The 27,413-nt window shown below is 38.8% G+C and overlaps 1 annotated feature.

Moving 5' to 3' along the window:
* Window positions 1–27,413: part of a centromere (Linear centromere model derived predominantly from reads generated in PMID: 17803354. This region does not represent an actual centromere sequence, as long-range ordering of repeats and unmapped WGS contigs is not provided by the model. For details of model production, see http://arxiv.org/abs/1307.0035.) that runs on past both edges of the window.

Raw genomic sequence — 27,413 nt, forward strand, 5'->3', positions numbered from 1 at the left:
ATTTCATGCTAGACAGAAGAATTCTCAGTAACTTCTTTGTGCTGTGTGTATTCAACTCACAGAGTGGAACGTCCCTTTACACAGAGAAGATTTGAAACACTCTTTTTGTGGAGTTTGCAAGTGGAGATTTCAAGCGATTTGATGCCAACAGTAGAAAAGGAAATATCTTCAAATAAAAACTAGACAGAATCATTCTCAGAAACTACTTTGTGATGTGTGCCTTCAACTCACAGAGTTTAACCTTTCTTTTCTTAGAGCAGTTTAGAAACACTCTGCTTGTTATGTCTGCAAGTGGATATTTGGACCTCTTTGAGGCCTTCGTTGCAAACGGGGTTTCTTCCTTTCATGCTAGACTAAGAAGAGTTCTCAGTAACTTTTTTGTGTTGTGTGTATTCAACTCACAGAGTTGAACCTTGCTTTAGAGAGAGCAGATTTGAAACACTCTTGCTGTGGCATTTTCAGGTGGAGATTTCAAGCGATTTGAGGACAATTGCAGAAAAGGAAATATCTTCGTATAATAACCAGACAGAATCATTCTCAGAAAGTGCTTTGTGATATGTGCGTTCAACTCACAGAGTTTAACCTTTCTTTTCATAGAGGAGTTTGGAAACACACTGTTTGTAAAGTCTGCAATTGGATATATGGACCTGTTTGAGGCCTTCGTTGGAAACGGGATTTCTTCATTGAATGCTAGACGGAAGAATTCTCAGTAAATTCTTTGTGTTGTGTGCATTCAACTGAGAGAGTGGAACGTCCCTTTAGACAGAGCAGATTTGAAACACTCTTTTTGCGGAATTTGCAAGTGGAGATTTCTAGCCATTTGATGCCAACTGTAGAAAGGGAAATATCTTCAAATAAAAACCAGACAGAATCATCCTCATAAAATTCTTTGTGATGTGTGCGTTCAACTCACATAGTTTAACCTTTCTTTTCATAGACCAGTTTGGAAACACTCTGTTGGTAATGTCTGCAAGTGGAAAGATGGACCGCTTTGAGGACTTCGTTGGAAACGGGATTTCTTAATTTCATGCTAGACAGAAGAATTCTCAGTAACTTCTTTGTGTTGTGTGTATTCAACTGACAGATTGGAATGTCCCATTACACAGAGCAGTTTTGAAACACTCTTTTTGTGGAATTTAAAAGTGGAGAATTCAAGCGATTTGATGCCAACAGTTGAAAAGGAAATATCTTCAAATAAAAACTAGACAGAATCATTCTCAGAAACTACTTTGTGATGTGTGCCTTCAACTCACAGAGTTTAACCTTTCTTTTCTTAGAGCAGTTTAGAAACACTCTGCTTGTTATGTCTGCAAGTGGATATTTGGACCTCTTTGAGGCCTTCGTTGCAAACGGGGTTTCTTCCTTTAATGCTAGACTAAGAAGACTTCTCAGTAACTTTTTTGTGTTGTGTGCATTCAACTCACAGAGTGGAACGTCCCTTTAGACAGAGCAGATTTGAAACACTCTTTTTGCGGAAGTTGCAAGTGGAGATTTCTAGCCATTTGATGCCAACAGTACAAAGGGAAATATCTTCAAATAAAAACTAGACAGAATCATTCTCAGAAAATTCTTTGTGATGTGTGCGTTCAACTCACATAGTTTAACCTTTCTTTTCATAGAGCAGTTTGGAAACACTCTGTTTGTAAAGTCTGCAAGTGGATATATGGACCGCATTGAGGCCTTCGTTGGAAACGGGATTTCTTCATTTCATGCTAGACAGAATAATTCTCAGTAACTTCTTTGTGCTGTGTGTATTCAACTCACAGAGTGGAACGTCCCTTTACACAGAGCAGATTTGAAACACTCTTTTTGTGGAGTTTGCAAGTGGAGATTTCAAGCGATTTGATGCCAACAGTAGAAAAGGAAATATCTTCAAATAAAAACTAGACAGAATCATTCTCAGAAACTACTTTGTGATGTGTGCCTTCAACTCACAGAGTTTAACCTTTCTTTTCTTAGAGCAGTTTAGAAACACTCTGGTTGTTATGTCTGCAAGTGGATATTTGGACCTCTTTGAGGCCTTCGTTGCAAACGGCGTTTCTTCCTTTAATGCTAGACTAAGAAGAGTTCTCAGTAACTTTTTTGTGTTGTGTGTATTCAACTCACAGAGTTGAACCTTGCTTTAGAGAGAGCAGATTTGAAACACTCTTGCTGTGGCATTTTCAGGTGGAGATTTCAAGCGATTTGAGGACAATTGCAGAAAAGGAAATATCTTCGTATAATAACCAGACAGAATCATTCTCAGAAAGTGCTTTGTGATGTGTGCGTTCAACTCACAGAGTTTAACCTTTCTTTTCATAGAGGAGTTTGGAAACACACTGTTTGTAAAGTCTGCAAGTGGATACATGGACCTGTTTGAGGCCTTCGTTGGAAACGGGATTTCTTCATTGAATGCTAGACGGAAGAATTCTCAGTAAATTCTTTGTGTTGTGTGCATTCAACTCACAGAGTGGAACGTCCCTTTAGACAGAGCAGATTTGAAACACTCTTTTTGCGGAATTTGCAAGTGGAGATTTCTAGCCATTTGATGCCAACAGTAGAAAGGGAAATATCTTCAAATAAAAACCAGACAGAATCATTCTCAGAAAATTCTTTGTGATGTGTGCGTTCAACTCACATAGTTTAACCTTTCTTTTCATAGAGCAGTTTGGAAACACTCTGTTTGTAAAGTCTGCAAGTGGATATATGGACCGCATTGAGGCCTTCGTTGGAAACGGGATTTCTTCATTTCATGCTAGACAGAAGAATTCTCAGTAACTTCTTTGTGCTGTGTGTATTCAACTCACAGAGTGGAACGTCCCTTTGCACAGAGCAGATTTGAAACACTCTTTTTGTGGAGTTTGCTAGTGGAGATTTCAAGCGATTTGATGCCAACAGTAGAAAAGGAAATATCTTCAAATAAAAACTAGACAGAATCATTCTCAGAAACTACTTTGTGATGTGTGCCTTCAACTCACAGAGTTTAACCTTTCTTTTCTTAGAGCAGTTTAGAAACACTCTGCTTGTTATGTCTGCAAGTGGATATTTGGACCTCTTTGAGGCCTTCGTTGCAAACGGGGTTTCTTCCTTTCATGCTAGACTAAGAAGAGTTCTCAGTAACTTTTTTGTGTTGTGTGTATTCAACTCACAGAGTTGAACCTTGCTTTAGAGAGAGCAGATTTGAAACACTCTTGCTGTGACATTTTCAGGTGGAGATTTCAAGCGATTTGAGGACAATTGCAGAAAAGGAAATATCTTCGTATAATAACCAGAAAGAATCATTCTCAGAAAGTGCTTTGTGATGTGTGCGTTCAACTCACAGAGTTTAACTTTTCTTTCCATAGAGGAGTTTGGAAACACACTGTTTGTAAAGTCTGCAAGTGGATATATGGACCTGTTTGAGGCCTTCGTTGGAAACGGGATTTCTTCATTGAATGCTAGACGGAAGAATTCTCAGTAAATTCTTTGTGTTGTGTGCATTCAACTGACAGAGTGGAACGTCCCTTTAGACAGAGCAGATTTGAAACACTCTTTTTGCGGAATTTGCAAGTGGAGATTTCTAGCCATTTGATGCCAACAGTAGAAAGGGAAATATCTTCAAATAAAAACCAGACAGAATCATTCTCAGAAAATTCTTAGTGATGTGTGCGTTCAACTCACATAGTTTAACCTTTCTTTTCATAGAGCAGTTTGGAAACACTCTGTTTGTAAAGTCTGCAAGTGGATATATGGACCGCATTGAGGCCTTCGTTGGAAACGGTATTTCTTCATTTCATGCTAGACAGAAGAATTCTCAGTAACTTCTTTGTGCTGTGTGTATTCAACTCACAGAGTGGAACGTCCCTTTGCACAGAGCAGATTTGAAACACTCTTTTTGTGGAGTTTGCAAGTGGAGATTTCAAGCGATTTGATGCCAACAGTAGAAAAGGAAATATCTTCAAATAAAAACTAGACAGAATCATTCTCAGAAACTACTTTGTGATGTGTGCCTTCAACTCACAGAGTTTAACCTTTCTTTTCTTAGAGCAGTTTAGAAACACTCTGCTTGTTATGTCTGCAAGTGGATATTTGGACCTCTTTGAGGCCTTCGTTGCAAACGGGGTTTCTTCCTTTAATGCTAGACTAAGAACAGTTCTCAGTAACTTTTTTGTGTTGTGTGTATTCAACTCACAGAGTTGAACCTTGCTTTAGAGAGAGCAGATTTGAAACACTCTCGCTGTGGAATTTTCAGGTGGAGATTTCAAGCGATTTGAGGAGAATTGCAGAAAAGGAAATATCTTCGTATAATAACCAGACAGAATCATTCTCAGAAACTACTTTGTGATGTGTGCCTTCAACTCACAGAGTTTAACCTTTCTTTTCATAGAGGAGTTTGGAAACACACTGTTTGTAAAGTCTGCAATTGGATATATGGACCTGTTTGAGGCCTTCGTTGGAAACGGGATTTCTTCATTGAATGCTAGACGGAAGAATTCTCAGTAAATACTTTGTGTTGTGTGCATTCAACTCACAGAGTGGAACGTCCCTTTAGACAGAGCAGATTTGAAACACTCTTTTTGCGGAATTTGCAAGTGGAGATTTCTAGCCATTTGATGCCAACAGTAGAAAGGGAAATATCTTCAAATAAAAACCAGACAGAATCATTCTCAGAAAATTCTTTGTGATGTGAGCGTTCAACTCACATAGTTTAACCTTTCTTTTCATAGAGCAGTTTGGAAACACTCTGTTTGTAAAGTCTGCAAGTGGATATATGGACCGCATTGAGGCCTTCGTTGGAAACGGGATTTCTTCATTTCATGCTAGACAGAAGAATTCTCAGTAACTTCTTTGTGCTGTGTGTATTCAACTCACAGAGTGGAACGTCCCTTTACACAGAGCAGATTTGAAACACTCTTTTTGTGGAGTTTGCAAGTGGAGATTTCAAGCGATTTGATGCCAACAGTAGAAAAGGAAATATCTTCAAATAAAAACTAGACAGAATCATTCTCAGAAACTACTTTGTGATGTGTGCCTTCAACTCACAGAGTTTAACCTTTCTTTTCTTAGAGCAGTTTAGAAACACTCTGCTTGTTATGTCTGCAAGTGGATATTTGGACCTCTTTGAGGCCTTCGTTGCAAACGGGGTTTCTTCCTTTCATGCTAGACTAAGAAGAGTTCTCAGTAACTTTTTTGTGTTGTGTGTATTCAACTCACAGAGTTGAACCTTGCTTTAGAGAGAGCAGATTTGAAACACTCTTGCTGTGGCATTTTCAGGTGGAGATTTCAAGCGATTTGAGGACAATTGCAGAAAAGGAAATATCTTCGTACAATAACCAGACAGAATCATTCTCAGAAAGTGCTTTGTGATTTGTGCGTTCAACTCACAGAGTTTAACCTTTCTTTTCATAGAGGAGTGTGGAAACACACTGTTTGTAAAGTCTGCAATTGGATATATGGACCTGTTTGAGGCCTTCGTTGGAAACGGGATTTCTTCATTGAATGCTAGACGGAAGAATTCTCAGTAAATTCTTTGTGTTGTGTGCATTCAACTCGCCGAGTGGAACCGTCCCTTTAGACAGAGCAGATTTGAAACACTCTTTTTGCGAAATTTGGAAGTGGAGATTTCAAGCCATTTGATGCCAACAGTAGAAAGGGAAATATCTTCAAATAAAAATCAGACAGAATCATTCTCAGAAAATTCTTTGTGATGTGTGCGTTCAACTCACATAGTTTAACCTTTCTTTTCATAGAGCAGTTTGGAAACACTCTGTTTGTAAAGTCTGCAAGTGGATATATGGACCGCATTGAGGCCTTCGTTGGAAACGGGATTTCTTCATTTCATGCTAGACAGAAGAATTCTCAGTAACTTCTTTGTGCTGTGTGTATTCAACTCACAGAGTGGAACGTCCCTTTACACAGAGCAGATTTGAAACACTCTTTTTGTGGAGTTTGCAAGTGGAGATTTCAAGCGATTTGATGCCAACAGTAGAAAAGGAAATATCTTCAAATAAAAACTAGACAGAATCATTCTCAGAAACTACTTTGTGATGTGTGCCTTCAACTCACAGAGTTTAACCTTTCTTTTCTTAGAGCAGTTTAGAAACACTCTGCTTGTTATGTCTGCAAGTGGATATTTGGACCTCTTTGAGGCCTTCGTTGCAAACGGGGTTTCTTCCTTTCATGCTAGACTAAGAAGAGTTCTCAGTAACTTTTTTGTGTTGTGTGTATTCAACTCACAGAGTTGAACCTTGCTTTAGAGAGAGCAGATTTGAAACACTCTTGCTGTGGCATTTTCAGGTGGAGATTTCAAGCGATTTGAGGACAATTGCAGAAAAAGAAATATCTTCGTATAATAACCAGACAGAATCATTCTCAGAAAGTGCTTTGTGATGTGTGCGTTCCACTCACAGAGTTTAACCTTTCTTTTCATAGAGGAGTTTGGAAACACACTGTTTGTAAACTCTGCAAGTGGATATATGGACCTGTTTGAGGCCTTCGTTGGAAACGGGATTTCTTCATTGAATGCTAGACGGAAGAATTCTCAGTAAATTCTTTGTGTTGTGTGCATTCAACTCACAGAGTGGAACGTCCCTTTAGACAGAGCAGATTTGAAACACTCTTTTTGCGGAATTTGCAAGTGGAGATTTCTAGCCATTTGATGCCAACAGTAGAAAGGGAAATATCTTCAAATAAAAACCAGACAGAATCATTCTCAGAAAATTCTTTGTGATGTGTGCGTTCAACTCACATAGTTTAACCTTTCTTTTCATAGAGCAGTTTGGAAACACTCTGTTTGTAAAGTCTGCAAGTGGATATATGGACCGCATTGAGGCCTTCGTTGGAAACGGGATTTCTTCATTTCATGCTAGACAGAAGAATTCTCAGTAACTTCTTTGTGCTGTGTGTATTCAACTCACAGAGTGGAACGTCCCTTTACACAGAGCAGATTTCAAACACTCTTTTTGTGGAGTTTGCAAGTGGAGATTTCAAGCGATTTGATGCCAACAGTAGAAAAGGAAATATCTTCAAATAAAAACTAGACAGAATCATTCTCAGAAACTACTTTGTGATGTGTGCCTTCAACTCACAGAATTTAACCTTTCTTTTCTTAGAGCAGTTTAGAAACACTCTGCTTGTTATGTCTGCAAGTGGATATTTGGACCTCTTTGAGGCCTTCGTTGCAAATGGGGTTTCTTCCTTTCATGCTAGACTAAGAAGAGTTCTCAGTAACTTTTTTGTGTTGTGTGTATTCAACTCACAGAGTTGAACCTTGCTTTAGAGAGAGCAGATTTGAAACACTCTTGCTGTGGCATTTTCAGGTGGAGATTTCAAGCGATTTGAGGACAATTGCAGAAAAGGAAATATCTTCGTATAATAACCAGACAGAATCATTCTCAGAAAGTGCTTTGTGATGTGTGCGTTCAACTCACAGAGTTTAACCTTTCTTTTCATAGAGGAGTTTGGAAACACACTGTTTGTAAAGTCTGCAAGTGGATATATGGACCTGTTTGAGGCCTTCGTTGGAAACGGGATTTCTTCATTGAATGCTAGACGGAAGAATTCTCAGTAAATTCTTTGTGTTGTGTGCATTCAACTCACAGAGTGGAACGTCCCTTTAGACAGAGCAGATTTGAAACACTCTTTTTGCGGAATTTGCAAGTGGAGATTTCTAGCCATTTGATGCCAACAGTAGAAAGGGAAATATCTTCAAATAAAAACCAGACAGAATCATTCTCAGAAAATTCTTTGTGATGTGTGCTTTCAACTCACATAGTTTAACCTTTCTTTTCATAGAGCAGTTTGGAAACACTCTGTTTGTAAAGTCTGCAAGTGGATATATGGACCGCATTGAGGCCTTCGTTGGAAATGGGATTTCTTCATTTCATGCTAGACAGAAGAATTCTCAGTAACTTCTTTGTGCTGTGTGTATTCAACTCACAGAGTGGAACGTCCCTTTACACAGAGCAGATTTGAAACACTCTTTTTGTGGAGTTTGCAAGTGGAGATTTCAAGCGATTTGATGCCAACAGTAGAAAAGGAAATATCTTCAAATAAAAACTAGACAGAATCATTCTCAGAAACTACTTTGTGATGTGTGCCTTCAACTCACAGAGTTTAACCTTTCTTTTCTTAGAGCAGTTTAGAAACACTCTGCTTGTTATGTCTGCAAGTGGATATTTGGACCTCTTTGAGGCCTTCGTTGCAAACGGGGTTTCTTCCTTTCATGCTAGACTAAGAAGAGTTCTCAGTAACTTTTTTGTGTTGTGTGTATTCAACTCACAGAGTTGAACCTTGCTTTAGAGAGAGCAGATTTGAAACACTCTCGCTGTGGAATTTTCAGGTGGAGATTTCAAGCGATTTGAGGACAATTGCAGAAAAGGAAATATCTTCGTATAGTAACCAGACAGAATCATTCTCAGAAAGTGCTTTGTGATGTGTGCGTTCAACTCACAGAGTTTAACCTTTCTTTTCATAGAGGAGTTTGGAAACACACTGTTTGTAATGTCTGCAATTGGATATATGGACCTGTTTGAGGCCTTCGTTGGAAACGGGATTTCTTCATTGAATGCTAGACGGAAGAATTCTCAGTAAATTCTTTGTGTTGTGTGCATTCAACTCACAGAGTGGAACGTCCCTTTAGACAGAGCAGATTTGAAACACTCTTTTTGCGGAATTTGCAAGTGGAGATTTCTAGCCATTTGATGCCAACAGTAGAAAGGGAAATATACTTCAAATAAAAACCAGGCAGAATCATTCTCAGAAAATTCTTTGTGATGTGTGCGTTCAACTCACATAGTTTAACCTTTCTTTTCATAGAGCAGTTTGGAAACACTCTGTTTGTAAAGTCTGCAAGTGGATATATGGACCGCATTGAGGCCTTCGTTGGAAACGGGATTTCTTCATTTCATGCCAGACAGAAGAATTCTCAGTAACTTCTTTGTGCTGTGTGTATTCAACTCACAGAGTGGAACGTCCCTTTACACAGAGCAGATTTGAAACACTCTTTTTGTGGAGTTTGCAAGTGGAGATTTCAAGCGATTTGATGCCAACAGTAGAAAAGGAAATATCTTCAAATAAAAACTAGACAGAATCATTCTCAGAAACTACTTTGTGATGTGTGCCTTCAACTCACAGAGTTTAACCTTTCTTTTCTTAGAGCAGTTTAGAAACACTCTGCTTGTTATGTCTGCAAGTGGATATTTGGACCTCTTTGAGGCCTTCGTTGCAAACGGGGTTTCTTCCTTTCATGCTAGACTAAGAAGAGTTCTCAGTAACTTTTTTGTGTTGTGTGTATTCAACTCACAGAGTTGAACCTTGCTTTAGAGAGAGCAGATTTGAAACACTCTTGCTGTGGCATTTTCAGGTGGAGATTTCAAGCGATTTGAGGACAATTGCAGAAAAGGAAATATCTTCGTATAATAACCAGACAGAATCATTCTCAGAAAGTGCTTTGTGATGTGTGCGTTCCACTCACAGAGTTTAACCTTTCTTTTCATAGAGGAGTTTGGAAACACACTGTTTGTAAAGTCTGCAAGTGGATATATGGACCTGTTTGAGGCCTTCGTTGGAAACGGGATTTCTTCATTGAATGCTAGACGGAAGAATTCTCAGTAAATTCTTTGTGTTGTGTGCATTCAACTCACAGAGTGGAACGTCCCTTTAGACAGAGCAGATTTGAAACACTCTTTTTGCGGAATTTGCAAGTGGAGATTTCTAGCCATTTGATGCCAACAGTAGAAAGGGAAATATCTTCAAATAAAAACCAGACAGAATCATTCTCAGAAAATTCTTTGTGATGTGTGCGTTCAACTCACATAGTTTAAACTTTCTTTTCATAGAGCAGTTTGGAAACACTCTGTTTGTAAAGTCTGCAAGTGGATATATGGACCGCATTGAGGCCTTCGTTGGAAACGGGATTTCTTCATTTCATGCTAGACAGAAGAATTCTCAGTAACTTCTTTGTGCTGTGTGTATTCAACTCACAGAGTGGAACGTCCCTTTGCACAGAGCAGATTTGAAACACTCTTTTTGTGGAGTTTGCAAGTGGAGATTTCAAGCGATTTGATGCCAACAGTAGAAAAGGAAATATCTTCAAATAAAAACTAGACAGAATCATTCTCAGAAACTACTTTGTGATGTGTGCCTTCAACTCACAGAGTTTAACCTTTCTTTTCTTAGAGCAGTTTAGAAACACTCTGCTTGTTATGTCTGCAAGTGGATATTTGGACCTCTTTGAGGCCTTCGTTGCAAACGGGGTTTCTTCCTTTCATGCTAGACTAAGAAGAGTTCTCAGTAACTTTTTTGTGTTGTGTGTATTCAACTCACAGAGTTGAACCTTGCTTTAGAGAGAGCAGATTTGAAACACTCTTGCTGTGGCATTTTCAGGTGGAGATTTCAAGCGATTTGAGGACAATTGCAGAAAAGGAAATATCTTCGTATAACAACCAGACAGAATCATTCTCAGAAAGTGCTTTGTGATGTGTGCATTCCACTCACAGAGTTTAACCTTTCTTTTCATAGAGGAGTTTGGAAACACACTGTTTGTAAAGTCTGCAAGTGGATATATGGACCTGTTTGAGGCCTTCGTTGGAAACGGGATTTCTTCATTGAATGCTAGGCGGAGGAATTCTCAGTAAATTCTTTGTGTTGTGTGCATTCAACTCACAGAGTGGAACGTCCCTTTAGACAGAGCAGATTTGAAACACTCTTTTTGCGGAATTTGCAAGTGGAGATTTCTAGCCATTTGATGCCAACAGTAGAAAGGGAAATATCTTCAAATAAAAACCAGACAGAATCATTCTCAGAAAATTCTTTGTGATGTGTGCGTTCAACTCACATAGTTTAACCTTTCTTTTCATAGAGCAGTTTGGAAACACTCTGTTTGTGATGTCTGCAAGTGGATATATAGACCGCATTGAGGCCTTCGTTGGAAACGGGATTTCTTCATTTCATGCTAGACAGAAGAATTCTCAGTAACTTCTTTGTGCTGTGTGTATTCAACTCACAGAGTGGAACGTCCCTTTGCACAGAGCAGATTTGAAACACTCTTTTTGTGGAGTTTGCAAGTGGAGATTTCAAGCGATTTGATGCCAACAGTAGAAAAGGAAATATCTTCAAATAAAAACTAGACAGAATCATTCTCAGAAACTACTTTGTGATGTGTGCCTTCAACTCACAGAGTTTAACCTTTCTTTTCTTAGAGCAGTTTAGAAACACTCTGCTTGTTATGTCTGCAAGTGGATATTTGGACCTCTTTGAGGCCTTCGTTGCAAACGGGGTTTCTTCCTTTCATGCTAGACTAAGAAGAGTTCTCAGTAACTTTTTTGTGTTGTGTGTATTCAACTCACAGAGTTGAACCTTGCTTTAGAGAGAGCAGATTTGAAACACTCTTGCTGTGGCATTTTCAGGTGGAGATTTCAAGCGATTTGAGGACAATTGCAGAAAAGGAAATATCTTCGTATAATAACCAGACAGAATCATTCTCAGAAAGTGCTTTGTGATGTGTGCGTTCAACTCACAGAGTTTAACCTTTCTTTTCATAGAGGAGTTTGGAAACACACTGTTTGTAAAGTCTGCAATTGGATATATGGACCTGTTTGAGGCCTTCGTTGGAAACGGGATTTCTTCATTGAATGCTAGACGGAAGAATTCTCAGTAAATTCTTTGTGTTGTGTGCATTCAACTCACAGAGTGGAACGTCCCTTTAGACAGAGCAGATTTGAAACACTCTTTTTGCGGAATTTGCAAGTGGAGATTTCTAGCCATTTGATGCCAACAGTAGAAAGGGAAATATCTTCAAATAAAAACCAGACAGAATCATTCTCAGAAAATTCTTTGTGATGTGTGCGTTCAACTCACATAGTTTAACCTTTCTTTTCATAGAGCAGTTTGGAAACACTCTGTTTGTAAAGTCTGCAAGTGGATATATGGACCGCATTGAGGCCTTCGTTGGAAACGGGATTTCTTCATTTCATGCTAGACAGAAGAATTCTCAGTAACTTCTTTGTGCTGTGTGTATTCAACTCACAGAGTGGAACGTCCCTTTGCACAGAGCAGATTTGAAACACTCTTTTTGTGGAGTTTGCAAGTGGAGATTTCAAGCGATTTGATGCCAACAGTAGAAAAGGAAATATCTTCAAATAAAAACTAGACAGAATCATTCTCAGAAACTACTTTGTGATGTGTGCCTTCAACTCACAGAGTTTAACCTTTCTTTTCTTAGAGCAGTTTAGAAACACTCTGCTTGTTATGTCTGCAAGTGGATATTTGGACCTCTTTGAGGCCTTCGTTGCAAACGGGGTTTCTTCCTTTCATGCTAGATTAAGAAGAGTTCTCAGTAACTTTTTTGTGTTGTGTGTATTCAACTCACAGAGTTGAACCTTGCTTTAGAGAGAGCAGATTTGAAACACTCTTGCTGTGGCATTTTCAGGTGGAGATTTCAAGCGATTTGAGGACAATTGCAGAAAAAGAAATATCTTCGTATAATAACCAGACAGAATCATTCTCAGAAAGTGCTTTGTGATGTGTGCGTTCCACTCACAGAGTTTAACCTTTCTTTTCATAGAGGAGTTTGGAAACACACTGTTTGTAAAGTCTGCAAGTGGATATATGGACCTGTTTGAGGCCTTCGTTGGAAACGGGATTTCTTCATTGAATGCTAGACAGAAGAATTCTCAGTAAATTCTTTGTGTTGTGTGCATTCAACTCACAGAGTGGAACGTCCCTTTAGACAGAGCAGATTTGAAACACTCTTTTTGCGGAATTTGCAAGTGGAGATTTCTAGCCATTTGATGCCAACAGTAGAAAGGGAAATATCTTCAAATAAAAACCAGACAGAATCATTCTCAGAAAATTCTTTGTGATGTGTGCGTTCAACTCACATAGTTTAACCTTTCTTTTCATAGAGCAGTTTGGAAACACTCTGTTTGTAAAGTCTGCAAGTGGATATATGGACCGCATTGAGGCCTTCGTTGGAAACGGGATTTCTTCATTTCATGCTAGACAGAAGAATTCTCAGTAACTTCTTTGTGCTGTGTGTATTCAACTCACAGAGTGGAACGTCCCTTTACACAGAGCAGATTTGAAACACTCTTTTTGTGGAGTTTGCAAGTGGAGATTTCAAGCGATTTGATGCCAACAGTTGAAAAGGAAGTATCTTCAAATAAAAACTAGACAGAATCATTCTCAGAAACTACTTTGTGATGTGTGCCTTCAACTCACAGAGTTTAACCTTTCTTTTCTTAGAGCAGTTTAGAAACACTCTGCTTGTTATGTCTGCAAGTGGATATTTGGACCTCTTTGAGGCCTTCGTTGCAAACGGGGTTTCTTCCTTTCATGCTAGACTAAGAAGAGTTCTCAGTAACTTTTTTGTGTTGTGTGTATTCAACTCACAGAGTTGAACCTTGCTTTAGAGAGAGCAGATTTGAAACACTCTTGCTGTGGCATTTTCAGGTGGAGATTTCAAGCGATTTGAGGACAATTGCAGAAAAGGAAATATCTTCGTATAACAACCAGACAGAATCATTCTCAGAAAGTGCTTTGTGATGTGTGCGTTCCACTCACAGAGTTTAACCTTTCTTTTCATAGAGGAGTTTGGAAACACACTGTTTGTAAAGTCTGCAATTGGATATATGGACCTGTTTGAGGCCTTCGTTGGAAACGGGATTTCTTCATTGAATGCTAGACGGAAGAATTCTCAGTAAATTCTTTGTGTGGTGTGCATTCAACTCACAGAGTGGAACGTCCCTTTAGACAGAGCAGATTTGAAACACTCTTTTTGCGGAATTTGCAAGTGGAGATTTCTAGCCATTTGATGCCAACAGTAGAAAGGGAAATATCTTCAAATAAAAACCAGACAGAATCATTCTCAGAAAATTCTTTGTGATGTGTGCGTTCAACTCACATAGTTTAACCTTTCTTTTCATAGAGCAGTTTGGAAACACTCTGTTTGTAAAGTCTGCAAGTGGATATATGGACCGCATTGAGGCCTTCGTTCGAAACGGGATTTCTTCATTTCATGCTAGACAGAAGAATTCTCAGTAACTTCTTTGTGCTGTGTGTATTCAACTCACAGAGTGGAACGTCCCTTTGCACAGAGCAGATTTGAAACACTCTTTTTGTGGAGTTTGCAAGTGGAGATTTCAAGCGATTTGATGCCAACAGTAGAAAAGGAAATATCTTCAAATAAAAACTAGACAGAATCATTCTCAGAAACTACTTTGTGATGTGTGCCTTCAACTCACAGAGTTTAACCTTTCTTTTCTTAGAGCAGTTTAGAAACACTCTGCTTGTTATGTCTGCAAGTGGATATTTGGACCTCTTTGAGGCCTTCGTTGCAAACGGGGTTTCTTCCTTTCATGCTAGACTAAGAAGAGTTCTCAGTAACTTTTTTGTGTTGTGTGTATTCAACTCACAGAGTTGAACCTTGCTTTAGAGAGAGCAGATTTGAAACACTCTTGCTGTGGCATTTTCAGGTGGAGATTTCAAGCGTTTTGAGGACAATTGCAGAAAAGGAAATATCTTCGTATAATAACCAGACAGAATCATTCTCAGAAAGTGCTTTGTGATGTGTGCGTTCAACTCACAGAGTTTAACTTTTCTTTCCATAGAGGAGTTTGGAAACACACTGTTTGTAAAGTCTGCAAGTGGATATATGGACCTGTTTGAGGCCTTCGTTGGAAACGGGATTTCTTCATTGAATGCTAGACGGAAGAATTCTCAGTAAATTCTTTGTGTTGTGTGCATTCAACTCACAGAGTGGAACGTCCCTTTAGACAGAGCAGATTTGAAACACTCTTTTTGCGGAATTTGCAAGTGGAGATTTCTAGCCATTTGATGCCAACAGTAGAAAGGGAAATATCTTCAAATAAAAACCAGACAGAATCATTCTCAGAAAATTCTTTGTGATGTGTGCGTTCAACTCACATAGTTTAACCTTTCTTTTCATAGAGCAGTTTGGAAACACTCTGTTTGTAAAGTCTGCAAGTGGATATATGGACCGCATTGAGGCCTTCGTTGGAAACGGGATTTCTTCATTTCATGCTAGACAGAAGAATTCTCAGTAACTTCTTTGTGCTGTGTGTATTCAACTCACAGAGTGGAACGTCCCTTTACACAGAGCAGATTTGAAACACTCTTTTTGTGGAGTTTGCAAGTGGAGATTTCAAGCGATTTGATGCCAACAGTAGAAAATGAAATATCTTCAAATAAAAACTAGACAGAATCATTCTCAGAAACTACTTTGTGATGTGTGCCTTCAACTCACAGAGTTTAACCTTTCTTTTCTTAGAGCAGTTTAGAAACACTCTGCTTGTTATGTCTGCAAGTGGATATTTGGACCTCTTTGAGGCCTTCGTTGCAAACGGGGTTTCTTCCTTTCATGCTAGACTAAGAAGAGTTCTCAGTAACTTTTTTGTGTTGTGTGTATTCAACTCACAGAGTTGAACCTTGCTTTAGAGAGAGCAGATTTGAAACACTCTTGCTGTGGCATTTTCAGGTGGAGATTTCAAGCGATTTGAGGACAATTGCAGAAAAGGAAATATCTTCGTATAATAACCAGACAGAATCATTCTCAGAAAGTGCTTTGTGATGTGTGCGTTCAACTCACAGAGTTTAACCTTTCTTTTCATAGAGGAGTTTGGAAACACACTGTTTGTAAAGTCTGCAATTGGATATATGGACCTGTTTGAGGCCTTCTTTGGAAACGGGATTTCTTCATTGAATGCTAGACGGAAGAATTCTCAGTAAATTCTTTGTGTTGTGTGCATTCAACTCACAGAGTGGAACGTCCCTTTAGACAGAGCAGATTTGAAACACTCTTTTTGCGGAATTTGCAAGTGGAGATTTCTAGCCATTTGATGCCAACAGTAGAAAGGGAAATATCTTCAAATAAAAACCAGACAGAATCATTCTCAGAAAATTCTTTGTGATGTGTGCGTTCAACTCACATAGTTTAACCTTTCTTTTCATAGAGCAGTTTGGAAACACTCTGTTTGTAAAGTCTGCAAGTGGATATATGGACCGCATTGAGGCCTTCGTTGGAAACGGGATTTCTTCATTTCATGCTAGACAGAAGAATTCTCAGTAACTTCTTTGTGCTGTGTGTATTCAACTCACAGAGTGGAACGTCCCTTTACACAGAGCAGATTTGAAACACTCTTTTTGTGGAGTTTGCAAGTGGAGATTTCAAGCGATTTGATGCCAACAGTAGAAAAGGAAATATCTTCAAATAAAAACTAGACAGAATCATTCTCAGAAACTACTTTGTGATGTGTGCCTTCAACTCACAGAGTTTAACCTTTCTTTTCTTAGAGCAGTTTAGAAACACTCTGCTTGTTATGTCTGCAAGTGGATATTTGGACCTCTTTGAGGCCTTCGTTGCAAACGGGGTTTCTTCCTTTCATGCTAGACTAAGAAGAGTTCTCAGTAACTTTTTTGTGTTGTGTGTATTCAACTCACAGAGTTGAACCTTGCTTTAGAGAGAGCAGATTTGAAACACTCTTGCTGTGACATTTTCAGGTGGAGATTTCAAGCGATTTGAGGACAATTGCAGAAAAGGAAATATCTTCGTACAACAACCAGACAGAATCATTCTCAGAAAGTGCTTTGTGATGTGTGCGTTCAACTCACAGAGTTTAACCTTTCTTTTCATAGAGGAGTTTGGAAACACACTGTTTGTAAAGTCTGCAATTGGATATATGGACCTGTTTGAGGCCTTCGTTGGAAACGGGATTTCTTCATTGAATGCTAGACGGAAGAATTCTCAGTAAATTCTTTGTGTTGTGTGCATTCAACTGACAGAGTGGAACGTCCGTTTAGACAGAGCAGATTTGAAACACTCTTTTTGCGGAATTTGCAAGTGGAGATTTCTAGCCATTTGATGCCAACAGTAGAAAGGGAAATATCTTCAAATAAAAACCAGACAGAATCATTCTCAGAAAATTCTTTGTGATGTGTGCGTTCAACTCACATAGTTTAACCTTTCTTTTCATAGAGCAGTTTGGAAACACTCTGTTTGTAAAGTCTGCAAGTGGATATATGGACCGCATTGAGGCCTTCGTTGGAAACGGGATTTCTTCATTTCATGCTAGACAGAAGAATTCTCAGTAACTTCTTTGTGCTGTGTGTATTCAACTCACAGAGTGGAACGTCCCTTTACACAGAGCAGATTTGAAACACTCTTTTTGTGGAGTTTGCAAGTGGAGATTTCAAGCGATTTGATGCCAACAGTAGAAAAGGAAATATCTTCAAATAAAAACTAGACAGAATCATTCTCAGAAACTACTTTGTGATGTGTGCCTTCAACTCACAGAGTTTAACCTTTCTTTTCTTAGAGCAGTTTAGAAACACTCTGCTTGTTATGTCTGCAAGTGGATATTTGGACCTCTTTGAGGCCTTCGTTGCAAACGGGGTTTCTTCCTTTCATGCTAGACTAAGAAGAGTTCTCAGTAACTTTTTTGTGTTGTGTGTATTCAACTCACAGAGTTGAACCTTGCTTTAGAGAGAGCAGATTTGAAACACTCTTGCTGTGACATTTTCAGGTGGAGATTTCAAGCGATTTGAGGACAATTGCAGAAAAGGAAATATCTTCGTATAACAACCAGACAGAATCATTCTCAGAAAGTGCTTTGTGATGTGTGCGTTCCACTCACAGAGTTTAACCTTTCTTTTCATAGAGGAGTTTGGAAACACACTGTTTGTAAAGTCTGCAAGTGGATATATGGACCTGTTTGAGGCCTTCGTTGGAAACGGGATTTCTTCATTGAATGCTAGACGGAAGAATTCTCAGTAAATTCTTTGTGTTGTGTGCATTCAACTCACAGAGTGGAACGTCCCTTTAGACAGAGCAGATTTGAAACACTCTTTTTGCGGAATTTGCAAGTGGAGATTTCTAGCCATTTGATGCCAACAGTAGAAAGGGAAATATCTTCAAATAAAAACCAGACAGAATCATTCTCAGAAAATTCTTTGTGATGTGTGCGTTCAACTCACATAGTTTAACCTTTCTTTTCATAGAGCAGTTTGGAAACACTCTGTTTGTAAAGTCTGCAAGTGGATATATGGACCGCATTGAGGCCTTCGTTGCAAACGGGGTTTCTTCCTTTCATGCTAGACAGAAGAATTCTCAGTAACTTCTTTGTGCTGTGTGTATTCAACTCACAGAGTTGAACCTTGCTTTAGAGAGAGCAGATTTGAAACACTCTTGCTGTGGCATTTTCAGGTGGAGATTTCAAGCGATTTGAGGAAAATTGCAGAAAAGGAAATATCTTCGTATAACAACCAGACAGAATCATTCTCAGAAAGTGCTTTGTGATGTGTGCGTTCCACTCACAGAGTTTAACCTTTCTTTTCATAGAGGAGTTTGGAAACACACTGTTTGTAAAGTCTGCAAGTGGATATATGGACCTGTTTGAGGCCTTCGTTGGAAACGGGATTTCTTCATTGAATGCTAGACGGAAGAATTCTCAGTAAATTCTTTGTGTTGTGTGCATTCAACTCACAGAGTGGAACGTCCCTTTAGACAGAGCAGATTTGAAACACTCTTTTTGCGGAATTTGCAAGTGGAGATTTCTAGCCATTTGATGCCAACAGTAGAAAGGGAAATATCTTCAAATAAAAACCAGACAGAATCATTCTCAGAAAATTCTTTGTGATGTGTGCGTTCAACTCACATAGTTTAACCTTTCTTTTCATAGAGCAGTTTGGAAACACTCTGTTTGTAAAGTCTGCAAGTGGATATATGGACCGCATTGAGGCCTTCGTTGGAAACGGGATTTCTTCATTTCATGCTAGACAGAAGAATTCTCAGTAACTTCTTTGTGCTGTGTGTATTCAACTCACAGAGTGGAACGTCCCTTTACACAGAGCAGATTTGAAACACTCTTTTTGTGGAGTTTGCAAGTGGAGATTTCAAGCGATTTGATGCCAACAGTAGAAAAGGAAATATCTTCAAATAAAAACTAGACAGAATCATTCTCAGAAACTACTTTGTGATGTGTGCCTTCAACTCACAGAGTTTAACCTTTCTTTTCTTAGAGCAGTTTAGAAACACTCTGCTTGTTATGTCTGCAAGTGGATATTTGGACCTCTTTGAGGCCTTCGTTGCAAACGGGGTTTCTTCCTTTCATGCTAGACTAAGAAGAGTTCTCAGTAACTTTTTTGTGTTGTGTGTATTCAACTCACAGAGTTGAACCTTGCTTTAGAGAGAGCAGATTTGAAACACTCTTGCTGTGGCATTTTCAGGTGGAGATTTCAAGCGATTTGAGGACAATTGCAGAAAAGGAAATATCTTCGTATAATAACCAGACAGAATCATTCTCAGAAAGTGCTTTGTGATGTGTGCGTTCAACTCACAGAGTTTAACCTTTCTTTTCATAGAGGAGTTTGGAAACACACTGTTTGTAAAGTCTGCAATTGGATATATGGACCTGTTTGAGGCCTTCCTTGGAAACGGGATTTCTTCATTGAATGCTAGGCGGAAGAATTCTCAGTAAATTCTTTGTGTTGTGTGCATTCAACTCACAGAGTGGAACGTCCCTTTAGACAGAGCAGATTTGAAACACTCTTTTTGCGGAATTTGCAAGTGGAGATTTCTAGCCATTTGATGCCAACAGTAGAAAGGGAAATATCTTCAAATAAAAACCAGACAGAATCATTCTCAGAAAATTCTTTGTTTTGTGTGCGTTCAACTCACATAGTTTAACCTTTCTTTTCATAGAGCAGTTTGGAAACACTCTGTTTGTAAAGTCTGCAAGTGGATATATGGACCGCATTGAGGCCTTCGTTGGAAACGGGATTTCTTCATTTCATGCTAGACAGAAGAATTCTCAGTAACTTCTTTGTGCTGTGTGTATTCAACTCACAGAGTGGAACGTCCCTTTGCACAGAGCAGATTTGAAACACTCTTTTTGTGGAATTTGCAAGTGGAGATTTCAAGCGATTTGATGCCAACAGTAGAAAAGGGAATATCTTCAAATAAAAACTAGACAGAATCATTCTCAGAAACTACTTTGTGATGTGTGCCTTCAACTCACAGAGTTTAACCTTTCTTTTCTTAGAGCAGTTTAGAAACACTCTGCTTGTTATGTCTGCAAGTGGATATTTGGACCTCTTTGAGGCCTTCGTTGCAAACGGGGTTTCTTCCTTTCATGCTAGACTAAGAAGAGTTCTCAGTAACTTTTTTGTGTTGTGTGTATTCAACTCACAGAGTTGAACCTTGCTTTAGAGAGAGCAGATTTGAAACACTCTTGCTGTGGCATTTTCAGTTGGAGATTTCAAGCGATTTGAGGACAATTGCAGAAAAGGAAATATCTTCGTATAATAACCAGACAGAATCATTCTCAGAAAGTGCTTTGTGATGTGTGCGTTCAACTCACAGAGTTTAACCTTTCTTTCCATAGAGGAGTTTGGAAACACACTGTTTGTAAAGTCTGCAATTGGATATATGGACCTGTTTGAGGCCTTCGTTGGAAACGGGATTTCTTCATTGAATGCTAGACGGAAGAATTCTCAGTAAATTCTTTGTGTTGTGTGCATTCAACTGACAGAGTGGAACGTCCCTTTAGACAGAGCAGATTTGAAACACTCTTTTTGCGGAATTTGCAAGTGGAGATTTCTAGCCATTTGATGCCAACAGTAGAAAGGGAAACATCTTCAAATAAAAACCAGACAGAATCATTCTCAGAAAATTCTTTGTGATGTGTGCGTTCAACTCACATAGTTTAACCTTTCTTTTCATAGAGCAGTTTGGAAACACTCTGTTTGTAAAGTCTGCAAGTGGATATATGGATCGCATTGAGGCCTTCGTTGGAAACGGTATTTCTTCATTTCATGCTAGACAGAAGAATTCTCAGCAACTTCTTTGTGCTGTGTGTATTCAACTCACAGAGTGGAACGTCCCTTTACACAGAGCAGATTTGAAACACTCTTTTTGTGGAGTTTGCAAGTGAAGATTTCAAGCGATTTGATGCCAACAGTAGAAAAGGAAATATCTTCAAATAAAAACTAGACAGAATCATTCTCAGAAACTACTTTGTGATGTGTGCCTTCAACTCACAGAGTTTAACCTTTCTTTTCTTAGAGCAGTTTAGAAACACTCTGTTTGTTATGTCTGCAAGTGGATATTTGGACCTCTTTGAGGCCTTCGTTGCAAACGGGGTTTCTTCCTTTCATGCTAGACTAAGAAGAGTTCTCAGTAACTTTTTTGTGTTGTGTTTATTCAACTCACAGAGTTGAACCTTGCTTTAGAGAGAGCAGATTTGAAACACTCTTGCTGTGGCATTTTCAGGTGGAGATTTCAAGCGATTTGAGGACAATTGCAGAAAAGGAAATATCTTCGTATAATAACCAGACAGAATCATTCTCAGAAAGTGCTTTGTGATGTGTGCGTTCAACTCACACAGTTTAACCTTTCTTTCCATAGAGGAGTTTGGAAACACACTGTTTGTAAAGTCTGCAATTGGATATATGGACCTGTTTGAGGCCTTCGTTGGAAACGGGATTTCTTCATTGAATGCTAGACGGAAGAATTCTCAGTAAATTCTTTGTGTTGTGTGCATTCAACTCACAGAGTGGAACGTCCCTTTAGACAGAGCAGATTTGAAACACTCTTTTTGCGGAATTTGCAAGTGGAGATTTCTAGCCATTTGATGCCAAGAGTAGAAAGGGAAATATCTTCAAATAAAAACCAGACAGAATCATTCTCAGAAAATTCTTTGTGATGTGTGCGTTCAACTCACATAGTTTAACCTTTCTTTTCATAGAGCAGTTTGGAAACACTCTGTTTGTACAGTCTGCAAGTGGATATATGGACCGCATTGAGGCCTTCGTTGGAAACGGGATTTCTTCATTTCATGCTAGACAGAAGAATTCTCAGTAACTTCTTTGTGCTGTGTGTATTCAACTCACAGAGTGGAACGTCCCTTTGCACAGAGCAGATTTGAAACACTCTTTTTGTGGAATTTGCAAGTGGAGATTTTAAGCGATTTGATGCCAACAGTAGAAAAGGAAATATCTTCAAATAAAAACTAGACAGAATCATTCTCAGAAACTACTTTGTGATGTGTGCCTTCAACTCACAGAGTTTAACCTTTCTTTTCTTAGAGCAGTTTAGAAACACTCTGCTTGTTATGTCTGCAAGTGGATATTTGGACCTCTTTGAGGCCTTCGTTGCAAACGGGGTTTCTTCCTTTAATGCTAGACTAAGAAGACTTCTCAGTAACTTTTTTGTGTTGTGTGCATTCAACTCACAGAGTGGAACGTCCCTTTAGACAGAGCAGATTTGAAACACTCTTTTTGCGGAAGTTGCAAGTGGAGATTTCTAGCCATTTGATGCCAACAGTACAAAGGGAAATATCTTCAAATAAAAACTAGACAGAATCATTCTCAGAAAATTCTTTGTGATGTGTGCGTTCAACTCACATAGTTTAACCTTTCTTTTCATAGAGCAGTTTGGAAACACTCTGTTTGTAAAGTCTGCAAGTGGATATATGGACCGCATTGAGGCCTTCGTTGGAAACGGGATTTCTTCATTTCATGCTAGACAGAAGAATTCTCAGTAACTTCTTTGTGCTGTGTGTATTCAACTCACAGAGTGGAACGTCCCTTTACACAGAGCAGATTTGAAACACTCTTTTTGTGGAGTTTGCAAGTGGAGATTTCAAGCGATTTGATGCCAACAGTAGAAAAGGAAATATCTTCAAATAAAAACTAGACAGAATCATTCTCAGAAACTACTTTGTGATGTGTGCCTTCAACTCACAGAGTTTAACCTTTCTTTTCTTAGAGCACTTTAGAAACACTCTGCTTGTTATGTCTGCAAGTGGATATTTGGACCTCTTTGAGGCCTTCGTTGCAAACGGGGTTTCTTCCTTTAATGCTAGACTAAGAAGAGTTCTCAGTAACTTTTTTGTGTTGTGTGTATTCAACTCACAGAGTTGAACCTTGCTTTAGAGAGAGCAGATTTGAAACACTCTTGCTGTGGCATTTTCAGGTGGAGATTTCAAGCGATTTGAGGACAATTGCAGAAAAGGAAATATCTTCGTATAATAACCAGACAGAATCATTCTCAGAAAGTGCTTTGTGATGTGTGCGTTCAACTCACAGAGTTTAACCTTTCTTTTCATAGAGGAGTTTGGAAACACACTGTTTGTAAAGTCTGCAAGTGGATACATGGACCTGTTTGAGGCCTTCGTTGGAAACGGGATTTCTTCATTGAATGCTAGACGGAAGAATTCTCAGTAAATTCTTTGTGTTGTGTGCATTCAACTCACAGAGTGGAACGTCCCTTTAGACAGAGCAGATTTGAAACACTCTTTTTGCGGAATTTGCAAGTGGAGATTTCTAGCCATTTGATGCCAACAGTAGAAAGGGAAATATCTTCAAATAAAAACCAGACAGAATCATTCTCAGAAAATTCTTTGTGATGTGTGCGTTCAACTCACATAGTTTAACCTTTCTTTTCATAGAGCAGTTTGGAAACACTCTGTTTGTAAAGTCTGCAAGTGGATATATGGACCGCATTGAGGCCTTCGTTGGAAACGGGATTTCTTCATTTCATGCTAGACAGAAGAATTCTCAGTAACTTCTTTGTGCTGTGTGTATTCAACTCACAGAGTGGAACGTCCCTTTGCACAGAGCAGATTTGAAACACTCTTTTTGTGGAGTTTGCAAGTGGAGATTTCAAGCGATTTGATGCCAACAGTAGAAAAGGAAATATCTTCAAATAAAAACTAGACAGAAATCATTCTCAGAAACTACTTTGTGATGTGTGCCTTCAACTCACAGAGTTTAACCTTTCTTTTCTTAGAGCAGTTTAGAAACACTCTGCTTGTTATGTCTGCAAGTGGATATTTGGACCTCTTTGAGGCCTTCGTTGCAAACGGGGTTTCTTCCTTTAATGCTAGACTAAGAAGAGTTCTCAGTAACTTTTTTGTGTTGTGTGTATTCAACTCACAGAGTTGAACCTTGCTTTAGAGAGAGCAGATTTGAAACACTCTTGCTGTGGCATTTTCAGGTGGAGATTTCAAGCGATTTGAGGATAATTGCAGAAAAGGAAATATCTTCGTATAACAACCAGACAGAATCATTCTGAGAAAGTGCTTTGTGATGTGTGCGTTCAACTCACAGAGTTTAATCTTTCTTTTCATAGAGGAGTTTGGAAACACACTGTTTGTAAAGTCTGCAATTGGATATATGGACCTGTTTGAGGCCTTCGTTGGAAACGGGATTTCTTCATTGAATGCTAGACGGAAGAATTCTCAGTAAATTCTTCGTGTTGTGTGCATTCAACTCACAGAGTGGAACGTCCCTTTAGACAGAGCAGATTTGAAACACTCTTTTTGCGGAATTTGCAAGTGGAGATTTCTAGCCATTTGATGCCAACAGTAGAAAGGGAAATATCTTCAAATAAAAACCAGACAGAATCATTCTCAGAAAATTCTTTGTGATGTGTGCGTTCAACTCACATAGTTTAACCTTTCTTTTCATAGAGCAGTTTGGAAACACTCTGTTTGTAAAGTCTGCAAGTGGATATATGGACCGCATTGAGGCCTTCGTTGGAAACGGGATTTCTTCATTTCATGCTAGACAGAAGAATTCTCAGTAACTTCTTTGTGCTGTGTGTATTCAACTCACAGAGTGGAACGTCCCTTTACACAGAGCAGATTTGAAACACTCTTTTTGTGGAGTTTGCAAGTGGAGATTTCAAGCGATTTGATGCCAACAGTAGAAAAGGAAATATCTTCAAATAAAAACTAGACAGAATCATTCTCAGAAACTACTTTGTGATGTGTGCCTTCAACTCACAGAGTTTAACCTTTCTTTTCTTAGAGCAGTTTAGAAACACTCTGCTTGTTATGTCTGCAAGTGGATATTTGGACCTCTTTGAGGCCTTCGTTGCAAACGGGGTTTCTTCCTTTCATGCTAGACTAAGAAGAGTTCTCAGTAACTTTTTTGTGTTGTGTGTATTCAACTCACAGAGTTGAACCTTGCTTTAGAGAGAGCAGATTTGAAACACTCTTGCTGTGGCATTTTCAGGTGGAGATTTCAAGCGTTTTGAGGACAATTGCAGAAAAGGAAATATCTTCGTATAATAACCAGACAGAATCATTCTCAGAAAGTGCTTTGTGATGTGTGCGTTCAACTCACAGAGTTTAACCTTTCTTTTCATAGAGGAGTTTGGAAACACACTGTTTGTAAAGTCTGCAAGTGGATATATGGACCTGTTTGAGGCCTTCGTTGGAAACGGGATTTTATCATATAATGCTAGACGGAAGAATTCTCAGTAAATTCTTTGTGTTGTATGCATTCAACTCACAGAGTGGAACGTCCCTTTAGATAGAGCAGATTTGAAACACTCTTTTTGCGGAATTTGCAAGTGGAGATTTCTAGCCATTTGATGCCAACAGTAGAAAGTTAAATATCTTCATATAAAAACCAGACAGAATCATTCTCAGAAAATTCTTTGTGATGTGTGCGTTCAACTCACATAGTTTAACCTTTCTTTTCATAGAGCAGTTTGGAAACACTCTGTTTGTAAAGTCTGCAAGTGGATATATGGACCGCATTGAGGCCTTCGTTGGAAACGGGATTTCTTCATTTCATGCTAGACAGAAGAATTCTCAGTAACTTCTTTGTGCTGTGTGTATTCAACTCACAGAGTGGAACGTCCCTTTGCACAGAGCAGATTTGAAACACTCTTTTTGTGGAGTTTGCAAGTGGAGATTTCAAGCGATTTGATGCCAACAGTAGAAAAGGAAATATCTTCAAATAAAAACTAGACAGAATCATTCTCAGAAACTACTTTGTGATGTGTGCCTTCAACTCACAGAGTTTAACCTTTCTTTTCTTAGAGCAGTTTAGAAACACTCTGCTTGTTATGTCTGCAAGTGGATATTTGGACCTCTTTGAGGCCTTCGTTGCAAACGGGGTTTCTTCCTTTCATGCTAGACTAAGAAGAGTTCTCAGTAACTTTTTTGTGTTGTGTGTATTCAACTCACAGAGTTGAACCTTGCTTTAGAGAGAGCAGATTTGAAACACTCTTGCTGTGGCATTTTCAGGTGGAGATTTCAAGCGATTTGAGGACAATTGCAGAAAAAGAAATATCTTCGTATAATAACCAGACAGAATCATTCTCAGAAAGTGCTTTGTGATGTGTGCGTTCAACTCACAGAGTTTAACCTTTCTTTTCATAGAGGAGTTTGGAAAAACAATGTTTGTAAAGTCTGCAAGTGGATATATGGACCTGTTTGAGGCCTTCGTTGGAAACGGGATTTCTTCATTGAATGCTAGACAGAAGAATTCTCAGTAAATTCTTTGTGTGGTGTGCATTCAACTCACAGAGTGGAACGTCCCTTTAGACAGAGCAGATTTGAAACACTCTTTTTGCGGAATTTGCAAGTGGAGATTTACTAGCCATTTGATGCCAACAGTAGAAAGGGAAATATCTTCAAATAAAAACCAGACAGAATCATTCTCAGAAAGTGCTTTGTGATGTGTGCGTTCAACTCACATAGTTTAACCTTTCTTTTCATAAAGGAGTTTGGAAACACACTGTTTGTAAAGTCTGCCAGTGGATATATGTACCTGTTTGAGGCCTTCGTTGGAAAGGGGATTTTATCATATAATGCTAGACGGAAGAATTCTCAGTAAATTCTTTGTGTTGTGTGCATTCAACTCACAGAGTGGAACGTCCCTTTAGACAGAGCAGATTTGAAACACTCTTTTTGCGGAATTTGCAAGTGGAGATTTCTAGCCATTTGATGCCAACAGTAGAAAGGAAAATATCTTCAAATAAAAACCAGACAGAATCATCCTCAGAAAATTCTTTCTGATGTGTGCGTTCAACTCACATAGTTTAACCTTTCTTTTCATAGAGCAGTTTGGAAACACTCTGTTGGTAATGTCTGCAAGTGGATACATAGACCGCTTTGAGGCCTTTGTTGGAAACGGGATTTCTTCATTTCATGCTAGACAGAAGAATTGTCAGTAACTTCTTTGTGTTGTGTGTATTCAACTCACAGATTGGAACGTCCCTTTACACAGAGCAGTTTTGAAACACTCTTTTTGTGGAATTTGCAAGTGGAGATTTCAAGCGATTTGATGCCAACTGTAGAAAAGGAAATACCTGCAAATAAAAAGTAGACAAAATCATTCTCAGAAACTACTTTGTGATGTGTGCCTTCAACTCACAGAGTTTAACCTTTCTTTTCTTAGAGCAGTTTAGAAACACTCTGCTTGTTATGTCTGCAAGTGGATATTTGGACCTCTTTGAGGCCTTCGTTGCAAACGGGGTTTCTTCCTTTAATGCTAGACTAAGAAGAGTTCTCAGTAACTTTTTTGTGTTGTGTGTATTCAACTCACAGAGTTGAACCTTGCTTTAGAGAGAGCAGATTTGAAACACTCTTGCTGTGGCATTTTCAGGTGGAGATTTCAAGCGATTTGAGGACAATTGCAGA

Source organism: Homo sapiens, chromosome 7, assembly GCF_000001405.40.
Source record: "Homo sapiens chromosome 7, GRCh38.p14 Primary Assembly".
NCBI classification, from domain to species: domain Eukaryota; kingdom Metazoa; phylum Chordata; class Mammalia; order Primates; family Hominidae; genus Homo; species Homo sapiens.